The sequence below is a fragment of the Homo sapiens genome, chromosome 10 (genome assembly GCF_000001405.40).
Source record: "Homo sapiens chromosome 10, GRCh38.p14 Primary Assembly".
Classification (NCBI taxonomy): Eukaryota; Metazoa; Chordata; class Mammalia; order Primates; family Hominidae; genus Homo; species Homo sapiens.
In genome coordinates, this window is record NC_000010.11 from 43,216,135 (window position 1) to 43,237,158 (window position 21,024).

Below are 21,024 nucleotides of genomic sequence, written 5' to 3' on the forward strand. Positions count from 1 at the left end.
CCCCAGCAGTGCCAGGCTGCCCCCCAACCTGGCCTGGTCCCCACCCTGCCAGGAGCGGGGGCGCTGGAGCCACCAGCACCCCGGGCACATCCCACCACCACCGCCATTGCCATCGGTACTCAGGGTCTATGCCTACAGTGGGTGGGCCGCCTGCCCCACTCTGTGAGGGTCTGGGCTCCTCCCACCAGGACATCGGGAATGAGGCTCCCCTCCCCAGGAGGCTCCCCCAGGATGCAGCAGGTGATTCCTGGTTTCCTTGGGGGACCATCTTGTGGGGGTCCTCACCTTACCCTGCGGGGAGGGCTCAGCAGGGAGTCAGGCGCAATTTGTAAGTGAAGTGCTTGTTTGAGTGTATGGGAGGCAGGCACCATGATTACAAGATTCCCCATGCAAATGCACATCTTTTGCTAAACCTTCAGTGGGCCCTTTGCCTTAGTGAGGATTTTGCCCCCCTCCTGGATAGTAGACAGTGCTAGGTAGCCCGCCCAGGGGCTGCCCCACCCAGAGAAGGCCGTTGGGATGTGGCAGTGGGCCACGTCACAGGGAAGAAACTGCCCGCCTTGGGGAGGGTAGAGGGCTGAGTGTGCCCACTTGGCTTGAAGACTCAGCCACCCTCAGGGAGGAAAGAAGGAGGGGCACTGCTCCTGATGGGATAAGAACCTGCATGGGGTGGCAGAGGAGGGGGAAGGAGGTTAGGGGCCTCCTCCCTTCCACCCAGCATGCAGCAAGGACAGACTTCACCCCATCTCCCTCCTGAGCTCCATCAGGACCGGTCAGATAGTGGAGGCAGCTGCGCCTCCTTTGCCGCTCACCCTTCCCATCTTACACACCCTTCCCCATCTTCTGACCCTGCCAGTCCAGAGCTGCATTCTCAGACCAGTAAAAAGAGCCCTCCGGGATCCCACCTGCACTGAGAGGCATCGTGGAGGGGGAGAAATGAGGTAGGGGCCACCCCCACCTACTGGATGTCACTCACTGGCAGGGGAGCACAAGCGAGGGGAGCCGATGGCCTGCAGAAGACAATGGGGCCACTGCACCCTCAGCTGGTGGAGCGTGCTGGGACCCGACCCTGAGGGCACCACCCCAGCATGGGGCTGGGGGACCTGTATGGAGCTGAGAGGAGGAGTGCCTGCCCCAGGCAGCCCCCAGTCCTTCCATCCCCCTTTGGCTCCCATTTCTCTAACACCCCTGTCCTGGTGACATGTGTCCCTCGCTCATGCTCCCTCTTCCCACGCCAGGGCTACAGTGCTCTCTCCAAGCTGGTGCTGCAGTCCCAGGCGCTGGACGACCCGCCTCAGCGCCTCCATCCCCACTGCACCTAGGCCCTCCCAGCTCTGTGGAAGAAGGCTGGGTGACCAGCCACTGCCCAGCCCCTCTACCACACCTAGGTCCTCCCAGCTCTGTGGAAGAAGGCCGGGTGACCGGCCATTGCCCAACCCCTCTGGACGTCATCTATCCACAATGTGCAGGCAAGTGACACCTGCCTGGGAGAGTCTGGGGCTTAGTCTCCACCATTTCTGAGATTCTAGTGCCTGCTAGAGGGACTAGAGCCAGGACTCTGACTCTGCCCAGGTTGGCCCCAGGCCTGCCCTCAACAGCAGGTGCGCCACATCAGAGCCCCTTCCCACAACCGGGCTGCATCCACCTCCTACTCCCTGACCCAGGGCAGGAAGGGTTCTCCCCCAACCACCCAGCCAACACTCAGATGTCCTCCCCATCCCCAAATCCCAGCTCTCAGACTGTCCTGACTGAGCTGAAACGTGTCTCCCTTAACTCCAGGGAGCCCTTGTCCCATCTGCTGAGGCCATGCACAGCAGATGGGCAGGGGGCAGCTGCAGGCCCAGGCTGGATCTAGGCATGGGCTGGGCGTCCAATGGGAAGGGAGTGGGCCCCACCCCAGCTGGGAGCCGGCACCCTCCTCTGTGAGATGCCACCTCCAGCACCTGCTTCCCAGGCGACCGTGAGCACTAAGTGAAGCCACAAAGCTCAGGACAGGCTCAATGCCTGGTGGGTTCTGATGGCATCGGCACTGCAGAGCACTAGCGGTCCTATAGGTTTCCCAGCTGCCTCCCTAGACACACAGCTCTTGGGAGCTGGTGCTGCCCCCTCCCTCATCCCACTTCTGGGTCCTTCTCACCTCCCATGCAAGGGACAGCCAGTGCACCTGCTGCAGACAGCAACAAGTGAGGAGAAGCTGCCTCCTGCTTCTAGGCAGGTGGACCCGTTGACCTGGTTGCACTGTCCTGTCCCAGGCATGGGGGACTCAGAGCTGGCTCTGGTCTAGGGATGGGGGGCGTTGGGGGTGACACTCCCCTGCAGGTCAGGCTCTCCAGTCCTCACCCTCCTCTCTCTCAACCCTTGTTCCCTCTGCAGCAGCACAGTCCTTGGGAGCACATGCTGGCCCCATTCCTGCAGCAGGGCAGGGAACTCCCTGCAGCCCCTGCCTCTCCATCCTCCAGGCCAGGCAGGCATCAGAGGGCAGGGGCCACGCTGTTTCACATAAGCCAAACTTCAAGTACTGCGAAGAAGGGCCGGATTTACCTTTGTGAACCTTCCGGGCTGGCCAGGGCAGTCTCAGGGCCTGGCCAAGGGCCTCAGGCCGGACTCCAACAAGGAGGCGGCTGCCATGGGAACCAGCACGACAGCGCCTCACAGGGCGCCCGCTCCAGAGGCCTGGCCACAGGCGCGACGCGGATAATTAAAGCTTTGTTACAGACACATGATTCATTTTTTCCTTCTGAATTCCCTTCTATTACCCAATACAATTTGAATTGACTGAAGGAATCTGGTCGTCTCCTCTTCACGCTCCTCAGATTCTGCCCAGTCTGGGTTTCTGCCTCTCCCTTTTCCCTTTCTGTCCAGTCAGCTTCTTCTGGGCCTGCTCAGGGCATAGAACATCATTGTCCACCAAGAACCATTCCATTCTTGAGACTCAAGAGGCCCAAGGATGCAGCAGGTGGGACTTCAGAGAATCCCTGCCCTTTCCCGGCAGGCGCTGGCAGCCTGGCCTCCCACTCCAGCCGCCTGGGGAGCCCTGCTCCCCCCTCCCCTTGGCCTCGCTCCCTCTTCGGCCAACGCCATCAGATTCTGCAGGGGTAACGAGAGCCTCCTGTAGATGGGTGGGCAGCCCTGTGCCTCCCAGGGACAGAGCTGGGCACAGGCTTGGATGGGGTCATGTGCAAACTCACGCAACCTTGGTAGCCAGTTCTGTCCTTTCCAGGGAGACCCCTAGGGTGCCACGGAGGAGGGGGCTGGGAAGCAGTGTGCAGATTCCACCCCAAGTGAAATCACCCCTCTGGGGTCCCTGTCCTAGATGGGTTGTCCACTGATGATGACAGGACAGAGCAGGGTGTCCTGCTGCTCATCAGTTCTGGGCAGTGGCCAGGGCGCCTGCTGGCTCCAGTAGGAAGGCACCAGCAATCTGTCCTGCCCAGGCCCACCCGGGCACACTGCCCACATCCAGCCAGCCCTGGAGTCAGCCCCGAAGCAGCAGCCCATGACCAAGAGAGAGGGACAGTGAGCGGGCAGGGTCAGGGCTGAGGGCCTCCAGAGGCAGGAAGGGATGGCCAGCCGCGTAGGCCACACACAGACCTGTCCCGGGTGAGCTGCACCTCCGCCCTCTACAGCCACCTAGGGTGCTGGGATATGGAATAAAAGACATATGGTTCTTTTACTTTTAAATGATAACTAATTACGCTGAGCAAAGATTTTTCCTTTGTGTTCCAAAACAAATAAAAATCCATTTCCCTCACTTGAATTGTCCTCCTGGCAGATGGCTGTGGGAGCAGGGAGCTCTCTCTGGGCCAGTCATGGGGGTAGGGGAAGGGGGCACCCAGCCCCCTGCTGGGTCACAGAGCCATGGGCATGCTCAGTCTGGCAGCCTCTGGGAAACAGCACCCAGACACACGTCCTGACTGCCACCCCCATGCCGTGGACACAGGCAGCTCTTCTGTCACATGCTGTGCGTCTGTCCCCTGGCCCTGGGGGCTGGTAACCGGTGGTTAGACACTGACCAGCCCCAAGAGTACCAGTGCACAGGAATGTGTAATAATGTGTTGTGGTCCTTAGGGTCTCAAAATAAACGGCCAGGCACAATGGCTCACACCTGTAATCCTGGCACTTTAGGAAGCCGAGGTGGAGGATCGCTTGAGCCCAGGAGTTCAAGACCAGCCTGGGCAACATAGGGAGATCCCTGTCTCTACAGAAAAATTAGCCAGGGGCAGTGGCATACACCTGTAATCCCAGCTACTCAGGAGGCTGAGGTAGGGGGATTGCTTGAGCCCAGGAGGTAAAGGATGCAGTGTGCCAAGATCATACCACTGCATCCCTGGGTGACAGAGCCTGGGCAACAGAGCAAGACCCTATCTCACCGGGTGTGGTGGCTCACTCCTGTAATCTCAACACGATGGGAGGCCAAGGCAGGCAGATCACTTGAGGTCAGGAGTTCAAGACCAGCCCGACCAACATGGTGAAACCCCATCTCTATTAAAAGTACAAAAAATTAGCCAGGCACGGTGGTGCACACCTGTAATCTCAGCTACTCCAGAGGCTGAGGCATGAGAATTGCTTGAACCTGGGAGGTGGACGTTGCAGTGAGCTGAGATCACGCCACTGCACTCCAGCCTGTGTGACAGAACAAGACTCTGTCTTAAAAAAAAAAAAGGGGGGGGAGTACTTATGACAAGTAACTCAGCTTAGAGTGAAGTTGCTGAGCCCTCAGAGTGATTAGCATAGGTGTGGTGGACTGCAATGATCAGATGATATCTGCTGTGGCCAGGCATCCCTGAGACCCAACAAGAAAGTGATGTCAAAAGGCACCTGAAGATGATGGCCAGGGACACTCCTGCGGAGGGCCATAAATACAAAGAAGCTGCTCATGACCAAGACACCTGCAGAAGCACTGCCCTCGAGAACTCCGAAGCCTCTTTTCCATTGGAGGCCACCAGACGCCCTGCTGGGAGAAGAGGAGTGATCCCATCCCTCCACCCGGGGGTCTGCGGTCCCTCTGCTCTGAAGGAACTTGGACCCTGGGCAATCAGCAGCTGGTCTCCCCATCCCCCGACACTGTGGTTCGCTCCCGCCTCTCTTATGACTGCCTGGGTGTGTGGAATATATTTGCATGATTGTTGGGGTGTGAAAACGTCCCAATAAACCATGAATTTGTAAGCATTTAATTGGCTGCTGAGTCATCCTGAAACCTCCCCACATCAGTTAGTGCCACCAGGCTGATTCGAACCTAAGCCAGACACAGCCGTCTCCATGCCTCCCCAGGGTGGCCCTCCTGCTGCTCCCCCCTTCTCCAGATGAAGGAACAGAGGCCCAAAGGGCCTCAGTCACCAGCGCCAGTCTGGGAAACTGGTGGAGCTGGGATTGGAACCCTGTCTGATGTGCTACCCAGGGCAACCAGCACAGGGCTCCGGAGAAGGAGAATGGTGTGAGGTGACAGCAGGGGGAGCCAGCCAGGCCTGTGGGATGGACAGGGCCTGACCCAGGAGGAGCTGCCCCTGCTGCATTTGCAGGTTAGGCTGCAAGCGCAGGGCAGCGAGGTGGGGTGGGGGAAATCAGGCCAGGGTCCAAGGGGCCCGTGCTGCATTCTAGCCCCTGCAAAACTGCCCACAAGCCTCACCACCAATGAGTGGCGTAGGCAGAGGGCCTCCCACCTGCTGGGCCCTGTGACACCATCTGGGGGCCTCTGAGGCCCTGCTCTCCACTTCCCAGATGAGATACAGGTGTGGGGCTGAGGACAGGGCACAGCTGGAAGCCGCCCAGGCCTCCTGCCTGCAAGTTGGCCCTTCCTGTCCGTGTGGCCCGGGCACATACAGTCATGCGTCCATTCGCGACGGGGATACCTCCTGAGAAATGCATCTTAGGCGATTTCGTCGTTGTGCAAACCCCAGAGTGACTTACACAGACCAGGATGGCACAGCCCACTACACACCCAGGCTCCGTGGTACAGCCTATTGCTCCCGGGATCCCAACCTGCACAGTGTGTGACTGCACTGAATATACTGGAGGCAACTGTAACACAACGGTAAGGATTTCTACAGCTAAACATAGAAAAAGCACAGTGACAATATCATATTATGAATCTCAGGGGACCACTATGTGGTGCATGACGCTGTCTTTTTTCCCAGCACACCCTCCTAACACTCTCAGAATCTCCAAAGTGGTAAGTGTCTTCTGTGTGCTGATGGACTTCTGGACAGCCTGGCTGGGGGCTGGTTGTCAGGGGAACCAACCATGTGATGAAAGGGTGGGGACTTTCACTCCCACCCCCAGCTCTAGGGACAAGAGAGAGGCTGAAGGTTGGGTCCATCACCAATGGCCAATGATTCAGTCAGTCACACCCACATAATGAAGCCTCCACAAAATCCCAAAAGGAGCGGCTTCAGAGCTTCTGCGTAGGCAAGCAGGTGGAGGGCCCTGGAGTGCAGTGCCTGGGAGGACAGGGAAGCTCCACGCCCCTTCTCACATGCCTTGCCCTGAGCATCCCTTCCTCTTACTGTTCATCTGTGACCACTGTAAAAACCTGCATAGTAAGTGGGTAAATGGAAGCAAGTGCTTCCCTGAATTATGTGAGCTGCTCTAGCAAATTAATTGAATCTGAGAAAGGAGTCCCAGGAGTGGTGATTTGCTGGGTGGGTCAGAAGCACAGGCCACAACCTGAGACTTGCAAATGGCATCTGAAGTCGAGGGAGGGGGACAGCCTTGTGGGACCAAGCTCTCAACCTGTGAGATCTGACTTCGCCTCCAATATTGTCCAAATTGAATTACAGGGCACCCAGCTGCTGTCTTAATGTTAGAGAATCTGGTATTAGAATGTTGTGCTAAATGGCTGAGAGTGGAGAGTAAGAAAAACACTTTATTGGTTTTTTTTTTATAACCCTATTAGAGGTAAACTCCCAAGAACACAAAGCTATGCCCAGGAAACACAGTGAGCACCTCTTCATGCTAGATTCACAACCAGAAATTGCCCAGCAAGTGGTAGATGCCCAAGGGATGAAAATATTGCAGTGCATGCTCTCTGGACAGGGGACCAAGATATGTGAAAAACTGTGTCTAGAAACAGAAAGGCACATTCTACTGTCCAGAGTCTCTGCCACATGGTCGTATGTTATACCACCAATGAAACCCAGTAAAGTCCCCAAATAGAAGTGTGCAGGTGAGAGAATGACATAAGCACAATGTACTATAGTTGGATATTAATATATAACTGATAAACAAAATACCCACTTCATAAAAAAAATCCCTAAATCACACCTGTGTTAAAGATTCAAATTCCAATTACAGATGTCAGAAAAATAACCTTTATAGGAAAACTCTGTATCGAATTTGATATGGCCAAAGCTGTACTCACAGAAAAGTTCATAGACTTCAATAATGTATTGAAGTAAACACTAAGCACTTGATTCAAAAAGCTTAAAAAAGAGCTTCTCAACAAAACAGTGAAACAAACTGGAAGAAGAAACTACTAAAAAGCAAATTAGATGACTTAATCAAAGAATAGAGTAGAACTCCTTATAAACTTCAAGAGCTGATTCTTTGAAAACACAGATTTCAAGGATAACCCTCTTGCAATTCTAATCAACAAAAGGAAAGAAGAAAGGGAGGGAGGGCCAGGCACCCTGGATCATGCCTGTAATCCCAGCACTTTGGGGGGCTCTAGTGAGAACCTGTCTCTATTTCTTTAAAAAAATTATAAAAATTTATTTTAAAAAAGAAAGGGAGGGAGAGAAGAAGGAAGAAAGGAAGGACATGAAAAATACATTGGGCATGAAAAAAGGGAATCTAACTCCAGATATGTAGAAGAAAGTTTAAAACAAACAACTACCTAAATCTGTGGTAAATGATCTGCAAGAACTTTTAATGGTTACTTATATTATCTAGAAAATATAAGTAACCAAAAATAGAGTAAAACTGTTTAGAACCCAAAAAGACCAATAACCATAGTACAAATTAAGTTGAGAGCCAACTAAGCCTCTGGAAAAAATAAAAGAAAGCCCTGGCTGAAATAGTTTCTAAAATGAATTATTTCAAGCCTTTGAGGATAAGATAATTTTATATGATATATAAACTATTTCAACTACACAATTCATATTGAAAAGCCTTCCTATTCATTTTATAAAGCTAAAATAGCATGATTTATAAATGTGACAAATATGTCTCCTAGTAGAAAAGTATGCATAAATTCTTACCTCTGAAAATAGTGAAAAATACCCTCAGCAACATAGCAACACATCAGTAAAATGAACTCAGCAGCATTTTTAAGCACAATAGAGCCTGACCCAGTGGGCTTTATTCCAGGAACAAGAGGATGATTTAGCTCAGAAGAGTTAATAAGTCAACACATTAATAGGTCCAAGGAGGAAAGGCATTTGATGATTTTGCTAGATATAGGAAAGCCTTTGATGAAACTGAATATCCATTCCTGGTGTGCACTCTTGGCAATTAATGTAGGATTCCAGCACACTGTCCTTGATGACGAATACCTATTGGAAATATGGGCCAGTTTCAGACTTAGTAAAACATGAAAAGCCTCCTCATTAAAATGAAGATCAAGCCAAAGACAACTGCTATTATTTAATGTTACTTTGCACCTTTTAGAAAACATAATAAGATAAGAAAACTAAAGATACATTAGAAATAAAGAAGTTGGCTGTTCCTTATGTGTAAGTAATATAATTAATTTCTTGGATTTTCCAGGAAGCCAAACTAAAAATCTGTTCAAACTAGTAAGGTATCAATAATCAATTACCTAACATAAACTTTTAAAAAATCAATAGCTTACTTATCTACCTCCCCTGGGCATATGTGTCTGCCCATAAGTCTGTGTGGAGCTGTTACAGAGATGCTCACACCAGTGGCAGTAGGGGAGGTGTGTCTGTGTGTCTCTGTATGTGTCTGTGTGTCTCTGCATATGTCTGTGTGTCTGTGTTTCTCTGTGTTAGTGTGTCTCTGTTTCTGCGTGTGTGTGCCTGCATGTGTCTATGTGTGTCTGTGTCTCTGTATGTGTCTGTGTGTGTGTCTTTGTGTCTCTGTGTCTGTGTGTGTCTCTGTGTCTGTGTGTGTGCATGTGCCTGCATGTGTCTGTGTGTGTGTGCATGTCTGTGTGTGGGGGTCTGTGGGGGGGGGGTCTCTGTGTCTGTGTGTTTCTGTGTGTCTGTGTCTTTGTGTGTGTCTGTGTGTCTGTGTCTCTGTGTCTGTGTCTCTGCATGTGTCTGTGTGTCTCTCTACGTCTGTGTCTCTGCATGTGTCTGTGTCTGTGTGTGTGCCTGCATGTGTCTCTGTGTCTGTGTCTCTGTATGTGTCTGTGTTTGTGTGTCTCTGTGTCTGTGTGCCTGCGTGTCTCTGTGTCTGTGTCTCTGCATGTCTCTGTGTGTCTGTGTGTCTCTGTGTCTGTGTGCACCTATGTGTGTCTCTGTGTGTGGGTGTCTGTGTATGGGTGTGTGTGTGTGTGTGTGTGTGTGTCCACGGATCTCTCAGCTCTCTAAGCTCCACTACCATCCCCCAGGAACACGATGTCCACAGTGGGCCTGCTCTGCCAACCAGCTCAGCTACCCTGAAGCCACTTTTCCTGGTCACCCACCCAAAACACCACACCACTGCCCCCTCAGGCTGGGCACTCTAGGAACATGCCAGTCCCTGTTTTAAGGACATCTGTTGTATGTGGCCCCAGGGAGGTCCCCAGAGAAGTCATACTCAGGTTGGGGCCAGAGTTGAAGGCTGAGCCTCCTCACCCACGGGGAGGGGGAGAGAGAGGAGGGCGGCGCTCTGACGCATACTTACCGGCCCAAGGCTGGGCAGGGGTGGCTGGCGGCAGTCACAGTGACATTTGGGAAATGCCAGGGGCTGGGTCCCAGCCCGGAAGGCGGGTGTGGGCGGTGACAGGGGTGGGGGCTGGGTTATTCCCCGAGGCTGAGACCACAAGACACCAGCTTTGCCAACAAAACTCCACTTGGCCAGTGGTGCCAGGGGCCGCAGGGCCAGGGCCCAGCCAGCAGCAGGGGCCAGAAGAAGAAACAGAGGGCCAGGTTCAGTGGCTAATGCCTGTAATCCCAGCACTTTGGGAAGCCAAAGCGGGCAGATCATCTGAGGTCAGGAGTTCGAAACCAGCCTGACCAACATAGAGAAACCCCGTCTCTACTAAAAATACAAAATTAGCCAGGCATGGTGGCACATGCCTGTAATCCCAGCTACTCAGGAGGCTGAGGCAGGAGAATTGCTTGAACCCCAGAGGTGGAGGTTGCAGTGAGATCATGCCATTGCACTCCAGTCTGGGCAACAGGAGCAAAACTCTGTCTCAAAAAAAGAAAAGAAAAGAAAAAAAGAAACAGAGAAGCTGAGGGGATCTTGGCTGCCATCCTCCTCCGAGATCCACGCCATCCATGGGCTCCCACCTGACTGTCCCCGGGTTCCCTCAGGAGCCCCCACGCCTCGTGTCCCATCTGCCTCTGAACTCCCATTGTCCTGGAACCCACAGGGACCCAGGCAGCCCAGAACCCACACAGTGGAGCCCTCATGACCCAGGAACCAGCTCTGACCCCTGACCTCCTGGCTGACCTCAGGCAAGACACAGCCCCTCTGGACCTCAATTTCCCCAGATGTAAAACAAGAAGTAGAGAGCCTGTACAGGCCACTTCCCGCCCTCATCTTTGTTCCTTCCTTTCTTCCTTCCTCCTTCCTTCCAGAACTTGTTCAGTCAAGTCAGCATCCCTTGAGGCCTTTGTGGCCTATGCCACACACTCAGAACGGAACAGCCCATGGACCTTAGTGTCTGTGGGAAGACAGACACAACTCCATGGCATGGCATGATCTCTTCAGGATTGGGGGTCTGTGCCGGGTGTCGTGGAGGCACGGAGGTGGGGAACTAACTCTGTAGGGAGTAGTCAGGGAGGGCTTCATGAAGGAGGTGATTCTGAGATCAGCTTCCAAGGATAACCAGGGGTTTTCCAGTGGGTTAAGGGGGAAAAGGGAGGTTGACATGACAGTTTGGTCTCCTTCCTCTGGTCACTCACCAGCAGTTCCCTGGAGGGCGAGGTCCAAGAGCCCAAAGGTGTGGGAGATGCAGGCAGCTTCCCCTGCACTAAGTCAATCCTCATGCATCCCACCAATGCCAGTGTGAGACTCTCTCCCCCAGGCAGCCCTTCCTGACTGCCTGCCCCCCCGACAGATGGCACTGCTGCAGCCCATGTGTCTGTGAGTATGTGACCCTGGGTTGTGCTGTCCCCAGTGCCCCCTGCATCCTGGCCAGGCCTGGACCCCCAATGCACAGAGGTGGTGGGCTAACATGAGAGGCCATGGCTCTGCTCTCCTTCCCCTGGCCTGTGCCCCGCTGAGGGCTAGAGTCCTCATCCCACCTCTCCTGGGGAAGCTGAAAGAAGGTGGCTCAAGCTAGCAGGCCCAGCAAGATGGGCTTTGGGCCTGGGAAGGCTGGGGCCCAGGGCTGTACTGTCCTGAGCCAGCAGGTGCAGGTGTGGGTAGGGTGGCCAGGAGGCAGGGCAGCAAGGAGCCTGCAGGGTGGAGCAAGCCAGGCTCTGCATGAGCACATGCAGCCTAGACCTCTCCCTGGACTCTAGACTGCCCACACCACTGCCAGGCAACACCTCTGGGGTGGGAAGTGTTGAACTGTCCCTGCTCCCACCTGCTGTGCCTGCCATCTTGCCCACCTCTAAGGGCAACACCCTCCTTCCTGCGCCAGCCTGACCTTCCCCATCTCAATGAAAACAGCCTACCCACCAGCACGGCCTCCAGGTGTTGCCTTCAGAATACCCCCAGAATCAGTCCTTCCCTCCTCCTCCTTCTCTGCCATCTCCCAAGGCTGGGATTCTCATCTGTCCCCGGACCACTGGGGTGGCACTCTGCTAGCTTCACCCCTCCCAGCAGCAGCCAGCAATGCCATGGCAGCCCCACGGGGAGCACATCCTGCTCCACCACCTCCCACTGCAGCCCCGTCACCCCCACTGGCTCCCCCAGCCACGCCACCTCGCTGGCCTCACTGTCCCACCTCCTCTTGGGCTCTGCTCCTGATGCCCCAGTCTCCAATCTGGCCCCAACATGCAGGCAGCTTCCACTTCAAAGCTCTGCCCTGGCCTTTTCCTGGTATGCCCCCCGCATAGCTCCCTCCCTCCCCTCCTTCAGCAGGTCCTGTGCACACGTCTCCTCTGGCCACCATACCTAAGGCACAGACAGCCCCCTCCTTCACTGGTGGTCAGCACGCTGGGCACCAAGTGTGTCAGACCCCTGGTTGCTGGGGGAGCAGGACTGTCATTGGAGGTCCGAATGAAACGGGGTGGGGCCGTGGGGTCCACCTGTCTCACAGCAGTGACTGGAGTACTGGGCTGGGGCATTTAAATGCCAGTGCAGGGCCCTCCCCACTCCCCTACTATGTGACCCCGTCAGCCTGGGTCCCTGAATGAGGGTGGCCTGGACCAGGGCTGACACCAGTGAGTGGAAACTGCACCATGTTGTGAGCTGAGGGACTTGGGGGCTGCTCTATCGCTGCAGAATGACCTGAACTACCCTCACCGATGAACTCCTCACAGGCCCTGCTAGCTCTCCTACATTGCTTCTTCTCTAGCCCTCAGCACCAGGTAGCACTCCACCCATTTTACCTACACATTGTGCTTGTTCCTCTGCTGTGTGGGCACCGTGAGGACAACACTCTCCGTGCTGTGGTGTTTGGTTCCCTGCTGAACCGCAGTGCCTGCACACAGCAGGGGCCCGATAAATGCATGCTGAGTAAGTGAAAGAAGGAAGGGACAGATGAGTCCTGCATCTTTCACGTGGCCAGGGCTGGCCGGGGCTCAGCTCCACGCTGTGGGCACTCAGAACCCAGGGGGCTGCCGCACCCGAATCACACCGCCTTACGCCTCTGGGGATGGGTCTCCATAAACAGCGTGGGAAATGCCAGTGCTCCATGCTCAGGTCCTCTCCAGGACCAGTTCTCCGCCTGCACCCTACAGCGCCCTCGCCCTGGAGCGCACACTCCTCGAAGCCCCACGGTGGGCTCCACTCTCCCTAAACGCACAGGCGCGCGTGGGGCTCACAAGGCACAGGCACGGCTGCGCTCCCTCCCATGTGCCGTGAATAAGCGCGCCCGCGCTTCCGCAGCCCTCCCCCGCCTGCACCTCACACAGACCACACACCGCGGACCACCCCTCGCCCGGCACATCCTCCTCAGAGCAACAGGTGGTTCTGCGCCCCTCAAGTCGTCCGGGCTCCTACACGCCCGTCCCCACCCCTTCCAGGCTCGCAGGAGCCACTGTGCTCTCGGCGTCCGCGGGCCGCGCCGCGAAGGGCAGGGCAGGAGCAGAGGCAGGCTGGGCGCCGCCCACCGGGCAGTAGGTGCTCCAGCGGGGACGCACAGAGGGCGGCGCGCGGGTCCTCAGGGCGGGCACCCTCCCGCACGGGTCGGGATGCAGGGGACCGTCGCACCCCTCCCGAGCCCGACAGCGCAAGAACCCTGCCCCGCGGCCTTGCGCCTGGGCCCGCCGCAGCCCTACCTGGGGCTCCAGGAACATTCTGGCCGCCGGCTCCCCGCGCCGTCCTGCCCGGTCCGGCGTCCAGCGAGCGGCGGCTCCTCTGCCCGCGAGCCAAGCAAGCACCCACTCCTGCGCCGGCCCCTGCCGCTGGACGCCTCCGCTGGAGGGGTGGGACCCCGGAAGCAGGGAACCGAGGGGCTGGGCTGGGGACCGCGGGGTCCGGGCGGGGCAGAGGGGCCGCGAGGCCGGCCAGGAACGCGGGGCGGGGCCGAGGCTAGGAGCATGGCGCGGAGGTGGGGCAGGGACCCGGGGCGGCCTGGAGCGCTGTCAGGAGGAGCTGCCTGGGCCGGGCGCGCGCCTGGCGCTAGGTGTGGGGGCGCCGTAGGTGCCGGGGTGTGAGGCTGGACGGGGCGTCCGGGATCGGCCGTGCCGGGGGTCGGTGCTGGCGCGCGGGGCCGGCGAGGGGGCGCAGCGTGGGTCGGGGCTCGGCGCGGGAAGGGGATGCCTCTTACCCGGCCCCGGCCTCACCTGATCGTAGACGTCCACTACGGAACTACAGCAGGTGTTCTGCCAGCATTCGACTTGAATGCCTTCCCTGACAGGGCGCTCACTCCACACAGCTCTGGCCTGAGACAGGCGTCGCACAGAACTCCCTGTCCTTCCATTTCATTGGAACTCGGGGGACACGGCAGCTGCTTTTGTGGGAGGGCTGATCCGAGCCGCAGCGAGGGGTGGGCTGGGCACATGGCACAGTGAGGCTCCTCCCGCCCCCAGAGCCCCAGCCTCAGAAGGAATCTGCCAGGTGATGGGGCTACCCCTCTGCGCATTCCTGTGGTGGACCCCACTCCCTCAGATGATGCGGACGGGAAAGATGCGCGGAGCCGAAGAGCGCCCTCTCTGGGGGTCTGGATTGGAGCACCCAGCACCTGAGCTGGGTGAGAGACCCCTTGGGCTCTGGGGGAGTCCGAGTTGGCCGGCGGGGCGGCCGCTAGGGAGGAGCAGGGTATGCTCAGCTTGAACCTCACAGAGAGGCTCTGACAACTCTGGAGAGCTCTCAAGCCACGGGCTGATGGACAATCGTGACCCTGACAACATCTGGCCGCCCCAGGATGCCCATACCCTCACCCCACCTCCACCCCCACGGCTCTTGCCCAGGCCTTGCCAGAGGCCCTCTGCCTCCCAGCTTGTTTGCCTGCTCACTTACTAGCAGCAAGAGTACCTACTAGGCTGGCTCGATGGGCAGTTGTCTCTGTCTTGGGAAAGTAGGGGCTGTGCTGGGTTCATTCACTGGCCTCCCTCAAGCCAGCTCAAGGGCCTGGAGACAGGAGTCCTTCTCCTGGAGTGCTGCCCTCTCACCAGCTCTTCTCTACCAGTGAGTGTTGGCCTGGCCTGGAACCGCTTCCCACTGCTCAGAGCATGCACTATACATTACTGCGTGGTATGCAGCGCCTGTGGGTGGGCAGTGCGGGGAGTACGAGGCAACCAGGCAGAAATGGCACAGTGGCCCTCCAGCTTTCACAATGTCCTCCCCCACTTTTGCTTCTGCATCTTGTTTCAGGCCAGCCAGAAGATGCGAAGCTCATGGTGACCTTGGCAGGCAGACAGGTGGCATCAGGATGGTCTGGGCCTGCAGGGCCACCCTGTCCCTTCAGGTGGCTTCATGGAGAGCACCAAGAAGGTGAAACCTGGTGTCTTGCCCCTGGGGAAGCCTTCGAGGCACCTGCCCCTGCCTTCCTCAGCCCTGTACCGTAGCCCTGCAGAACATCTGGGCCCTGGGGTGGCCCCAGTGTTGTCTCAGGAAGTCCATGTGAGCAGTTGGCCCTGCTGCCTCCTGACCCCAGAGCAAGCATCCCCTCTGCCTCCCTGAATGTGACACTCTAGAGGAGGTGGTGGATGGGTGGGCAGCCCCACAAGCCTTCTTATGCAGTCACAGGGTCACTTCCTATCACGCTCATCCCAGATTGCACCAGTGTCACCCAAGGACCTTGATAAGGCAGACGCTTCCCCGGGAGGAATGGGGCCCTTGCCCCCATCTCTGGCTGACACAGATGGTGCTGTCTCCTTTACCCACCAGTGTGATCTCAGCATTCATGTGTGACCTGACCCACATCCTTCCTGGTGCCTGAGGATGCGAGGAGGCTGCTATGCTGGGGCTGAGCCCTGCCAGGCGTCCTGCTTGCATCCCTGCAGCTGGGGCTGAGGCTGTCCTGCAGGGAGGGCTGGTGGGCCCTGAGGCAGAATCCCACTGCCACTTCAGAAAGTAGAGAAGAAGCCAGGTGTGGTGGGGCCAGTGGCCATCTGCCGGGACTTCAGGGAGACCAGACACACAGGAAGAGGCACTTTCTCCAGACACCTCCTTTAGGGGCAGGGCACAAGGCCTGGAACAAGGCTGCCTCTGACCAGAGCAACAGAGCCTGCTCTGAGGATGGCAGAGCCTAGAGCAGGCAAGCTGTCAAGATTCTGGGTTGAGGGTCACAGGACAGGAGGCTGGACTCCCGCTGATATGATTTGGGTTTGTGTCCCCACCCAAATCTCATGTTCAATTGTAATCCCCAGTGTTGGAGGTTGGAGGCGATTGGATCATGGGGGCGGAGTTCTCATGAATGGGTTAGCACCATCCCCTCGGTGCTATTCTCCTGTTAGTGAGTGAGTGAGTTCTGGAGGGATCTGACTGTTTGAAAGTGTGGGGCACCTCCCCCTTCTCTCTCTTGCTCCTGCCATGTGAGACACCTGCTCCAACTCTGCCTTCCACTATGAGTGAAAGCTCCCTGAGGCCTTCCCAGAAGCAAATGCTGCCATGATTCCTGTAAAGTTTGCAGAGCCATGATCTAATTAAACCTCTTTTCTTTATAAATTACCCAGTCTCCGGCTTTTTTTTTTTTTTTTTTGGAGATGGAGTCTCCCTCTATCACCCAGGCTGGAGTGCAGTGACATGATCTCAGCTCACTGCAACCTCCACCTTCTGGGTTTAAGCGATTCTCTTGCCTCAGCCTCTCAAGTAGCTGGGATTACAGGTGCACGCCACCATGCCCAGCTAATTTTTGTATTTTTAGTAGAGACAGGGTTTCACCGTGTTGGCCAGGCTGATCTCAAACTTCCTGACCCAAGTGATCTGCCCACTTCAGCTTCCCAAAGTGCTGGGATTACAGGCATGAGCCACCGTGCCCGGCCAAGGCCCTTCTTTATAGCAGTGTGAGAACAGACTACTACACTCGCAAAGGCTCCCTCTCAGAGTCCACCCTTGCTGTCTCCACACAGCAGCCGGGGGGGATCTCTTAGAACCTGAGTCAGAAGCTCCGTGACTCCCACCTCAATCTCGATGAAGGCAGAGTCCTAACGAATAGCCCCATCAGGGACCTCAATGCTCCCTGCTCAGCCTCGACAGGCCCTGCCCACCCTCCCCCTGCGTGCAATGTGCTCTGCAGTGTCTGTGGCCCCCCACCCCGACAGGCCACCTTCTCACTAACACAGCTGCAATGCCATCCTCTGCCCCAGCATTGTCCTGCCATGGAATGGTTTTCCTTAAGGTTACTGGGTCCAGCAGAGCCTTTCCACCTTCTGGTTCATTCGTCTGCTCTCCTGAGAATGTGAGCTCCATGAGGGCAGGATCTTTGTTTTGTTGACTGCTACATCCCAATGACTGTAACATGTCTATGCACAGAGGCACTCAGAACCTATGTGTGTGCACGTGTGTGTGTGCGTGTGTGTGTGTGTGTAGACAGATACAGAGACACAAGTGTGAATAAGGATATGGTTGTATATATCCAGCACAGGACTCATATCCAAAATATATAAAGAACTCATGTAAATAAAAAAGTCAGAAGACTCAATTTTTTACAAATGGGCAAAAGACTTGAAGACATATTTCACTGAAAGAAGGCTATCCAAGGGGTGATAGGCCTAAGAGAGCACCCAGCTCCATGACTCATCTGGGAAAGGCACTAAACTGCGGTGTGGCACCCTGCACACCCAGCAGCAAGGCTACCATCAAAAGGCAGAAAATGCCACGTGCTGACGAGATAGCACAACCCAAATTCTCAGCTGCTGGCGGCGCGGCAGGGTCAGCTGGTGCAGCCAGGCGGGAAAACAGCCCGATCATGCCTATGAACACCGACCACACCAGGCCCAGAAATTCCATCCTGGATGGAGGCTGTGCAGAAACACTAGAGACTCACACCAAAGGACACACGCAGGAGTGTCTGCAGCAGCCCTACTCACAAGGGCTTCGAACTGAAAATGAACCAAGCATCCCCCACAGGGGACTGGGTTTCCACCGAGCTGTGGCATGTGTCACTCAATGGAACGCTCCAGGCCGAGGATAACCCACCCAGACAACCACAGGCAAGGGCAGGGAGTCAAGGACACCAGGCACAAAGAGCATCTAAGGTTGGCCCCACGTGGAGCCAGCTCAGGGCCGGGGAGGGCACCCTCACCCCCAGAGGTCTGGGGTGCTGCCCTGGGGAAGGGGCTGGAAGGGGCTGGATCTGGGTGTCCCTGCGGAGTCACCCCATGAAAAATCACCAAGTGTACACTGTGGCTCTGGCTCAGGCATGTTTCTGTGTGTGTTACACTTCAATCACATGAAGAAAACTGAAGGAGAGAAAAATAAGAGAGAACATCTGGGCCAGGACAGGTAGAAGCTGTCGGCACCTCAGGGCCTATCTAGGTCTGCTGTGGCCACGCCTGAGGGAAGAAGGGATGTGGAGGAAGGGACCTGAGCCTCCCTCCGCTCATCCCCCCAAGAACAAAGGCAGAGTTGGGGCAAACCCTGCTCCCTCTTCTAAAAGGCACAGCCTACAGGGTCAAGCAATGGCAAGTGAGAGGCATCCACTGGTTTTGGAGGATGGAAGGTGGCCTGAGGCAGGTGACAGACCTTGCAGAACAGAGAAGCAGGAGCCCAGTGCCCCACAGGGGGCTGATGAGGACCACGCCGGTGCTACAGAGGCCCTGATGAGGCTCAGCCCACAAGGCCTTGGGTTCCAGGAGGAGGGTCAAGGGACAGAAAGGCCCTGGCCCCCCACCCTGCCCTGCTGATGCCACCTCATTACTGGGCCACACCACACAGTCCAAGAGTTTCGGGTCCAAACCCTGAAGGTGATGGCGCATACCTCTCTATCCTCTCCAGGGCATGAAGTGGGGCCCGAGATGCCAATTCACAAGGGTGCTGGCAAAACACGAAGCAAAATGAACCAAGCCCTCAGTGAGCTCCAGAGGCTCCTCAGACAGCCCCTGCCTCCTCAGGGGTCCGAGGGCTCACGCTGTCTGCCAGACTCAAGCCTCCTGCACACACAGCCACGGTCTGCAGAGAGGCCCCTCCAGGCTCCTCCAAGGCTGGTCAGTACCCCTGGGCAGAGGCCACTGATGGCCCTAATCAAAACCACACCTAAACACACCCACAGGCTCCAGGGAAGGTTGTCTGGCAGCCAACCCTGTCCCTTGGGTCAGTGGGGAACCCCTAAGCCTTCCAGAATTTCCCTCAGGCCATACCATTAGTGCTCCCTTTTGGAGAATAATATTCCATGCACTGAATCACTCATGGCTTTAGGCATAAAGCGTGAAGGAGGGGGTGAATGGGAGTCAGCTGAGCTTTCTGATGCGCAAGGCAACATCCTTCCAGGCACCAGCATACCTGGGCAGGAGCCCACCGGCCACAGCGTCAGGCACACCTCTCCCCAGTCGTCTGAGTCAGAGCCTCCACATCTTTGAGAAGCTCATCAAGATACCATGGTGTATTTAGCCCTTCCACATCCTATTCTGCCTCCTGGGGTCCATGAGTCTTTCCTGAGGCTCTTCCTGGGGTCCTGTGTCCATGCGCCTTGGCCACCCCTCCTCAGCCACACTCAGAGAATCCAGGGTTTCAACAATGCAGCAGTGTGGGGAAGGCAGGAATGCCAGGCTGGGAGGCTTCCTCCAGATGGGGCTCTCAAACCTGACCACACTGCCCAGGAGCTTGCTAAAAAGGCAGTGCCAAGGCGCCATCCTCAGAGATCCTTCCTGCCCCCATTGGTGTGTGGGACTCAGTGCTCAGGGAGGCGGCACCAGTTAAAACTCGGCTTGGGATGCAGGGCCTCTGGTCCAGGGGAAGAGAGCCCACCACACTGAGTGCCAGCCTGCCACATGCACAGGGGACAGTGGAGAACGCATCCAGGGATCGGGGGGACACAAGGCATGGGATGGGGACACAGCATCATGCCCAGCACAATGGGACCCAACAAGGGAGGAGGCTGCAGCCACACAGGCAGGACGGGTTGAGGGCCAAGACAGGGCCCGGGAAGTCACTTCCCCGAGATGAAGCAGATGATGACCAACAGGGACCCCTCCCATCACAAGGCTCTGGATACCCACCCCATCACCTGAGCAGAGACCTGCACAAAGTGAGACACAGATAATACCCCTGACACCCCAATGAGAAAGAGAGAAGAGGGACAGCACATGGAAATAGGGCAGACCCAGCCAGAAGCAAACTACTTCATGGTGACAAAAAGCTTGCAAGTTAAAGCCTTGAGTCATCACTTGGCACCTGTGAAATCTGCAAAAATAATGTTAAAGGTAATATAGAGTGTGAGCTTAAGCGTCAGGGAAAAGCCAGGGTCACTGGCAGGAAAAGGAGAGAAATGGACAGCAGGTATCCCCAAGCACCTCCCTGGAGCAAAGACATGGCAGCAGGCATCGTCTAGGGCACCGCGCATCCATGTGTGTTTGTGTGACCTTGTGTGCGCATGTATACATGTGCTTGAGTGTACATGTGTGCCTGAGCAGGTGTGCGTATGCACATGTGTGCTTTCTGCATGTGTGCATAGGCATGGGTGTGTGTACATAGTTGCATGCATGCATTACGAGTATGCAGGCCTATGCATGTGTGCATGTCTGCACCTGCGCCTATAAAACAGACAAGCATCCACATACCAAAAGTCTAATCAGGGTGCCTTCCTCCACTGGCCAGCATACACCTTCTCTCCGTCTCTCGCGCCCTCCCTCCTCCTCTTCTCTCCATTTAGCCTTATCAAGTGCTTCCCAAGTTCTCTCCAATTACTATGAATGGCTTCATCACAGCATAACACAGTACGTGCTCATCTTCTAAAACCAGGACATGAGGCATCCCTGCTCCCACTAAGACTGTGCAAAGTTAAGGCTGGAGCAGCAGTGGCCCACTCAGGGCTCGCCCCTCCCTCGGAGCCCTTCACAGGCTCCTGGAGAAGAGAGACTCAGAGGAGACCCTGCCTGAGAGCTCACACCTGAGATCACCTGGTGTGTAGGGGACAAGGGGGGGATGCTTAGGACCATAGGGGGGTCTCAGGGCCAGCCTGGCCTTGTGGGAGGGTCTCAGGGCCAGCCTAACCTTGTGAGGGTCTTAAGACCAGGCTGGCCTTGTAGGGGGTCTTAGGACCAGCGTGGCCTTGTGGGGAGTCTCAGGACCAGTCTAACATTGTAGGGTATCTCAGGACCAGCCTGGCCTTATAGAGGGTCTTGGGACCAGGCTAACCTTGCAGGGAATCTTGTGACAAGCCTAGCCTTGTTGGGGGTCTCATAACCAGCCTAGCCT

General features: G+C 56.2%; 1 protein-coding gene and 1 long non-coding RNA gene across 4 annotated transcripts in view, besides 4 other annotated features; one reads left to right on the forward strand and one right to left on the reverse strand.

Moving 5' to 3' along the window:
* Positions 1-21,024, reverse strand: part of RASGEF1A (RasGEF domain family member 1A) — a 72,531-nt gene that overhangs the window by 21,600 nt on the left and 29,907 nt on the right. The window contains exon 1 of one of the 2 annotated variants that reach the window (NM_001282862.2): positions 13,503-13,605. The exons of the other annotated variant lie outside the window; for it this stretch is intronic. Coding sequence (NP_001269791.1) covers positions 13,503-13,520 — 18 coding nt within the window. The 5' untranslated portion in view covers positions 13,521-13,605. Of the gene's footprint in view, positions 1-13,502; positions 13,606-21,024 lie in introns of those variants that run through there. 2 annotated transcript variants of the gene reach the window in all.
* Positions 177-932: an enhancer, noted in NCBI's record as "H3K4me1 hESC enhancer chr10:43711759-43712514 (GRCh37/hg19 assembly coordinates)". NCBI's record gives its function as "activates a minimal SCP1, AML or CMV promoter by ChIP-STARR-seq in naive H9 embryonic stem cells {active_cell/tissue: H9 hESC(naive)}" and the evidence as "EXISTENCE:reporter gene assay evidence [ECO:0000049][PMID:30033119]".
* Positions 933-1,688: an enhancer, noted in NCBI's record as "H3K4me1 hESC enhancer chr10:43712515-43713270 (GRCh37/hg19 assembly coordinates)". NCBI's record gives its function as "activates a minimal SCP1, AML or CMV promoter by ChIP-STARR-seq in naive H9 embryonic stem cells {active_cell/tissue: H9 hESC(naive)}" and the evidence as "EXISTENCE:reporter gene assay evidence [ECO:0000049][PMID:30033119]".
* Positions 11,906-12,716: an enhancer, noted in NCBI's record as "H3K4me1 hESC enhancer chr10:43723488-43724298 (GRCh37/hg19 assembly coordinates)". NCBI's record gives its function as "activates a minimal SCP1, AML or CMV promoter by ChIP-STARR-seq in naive H9 embryonic stem cells {active_cell/tissue: H9 hESC(naive)}" and the evidence as "EXISTENCE:reporter gene assay evidence [ECO:0000049][PMID:30033119]".
* Positions 13,956-16,338, forward strand: LOC107984225 (uncharacterized). Of its 2 annotated transcripts, none has more exons than XR_007062127.1 (3): positions 13,956-14,416; positions 15,040-15,159; positions 15,556-16,338. It is a non-coding gene; the product is annotated as an uncharacterized LOC107984225 (long non-coding RNA). The 2 variants fall into 2 exon arrangements; XR_001747438.2 differs by lacking the exon at positions 13,956-14,416 and adding an exon at positions 14,730-14,853.
* Positions 14,548-15,102: an enhancer, noted in NCBI's record as "H3K4me1 hESC enhancer chr10:43726130-43726684 (GRCh37/hg19 assembly coordinates)". NCBI's record gives its function as "activates a minimal SCP1, AML or CMV promoter by ChIP-STARR-seq in naive H9 embryonic stem cells {active_cell/tissue: H9 hESC(naive)}" and the evidence as "EXISTENCE:reporter gene assay evidence [ECO:0000049][PMID:30033119]".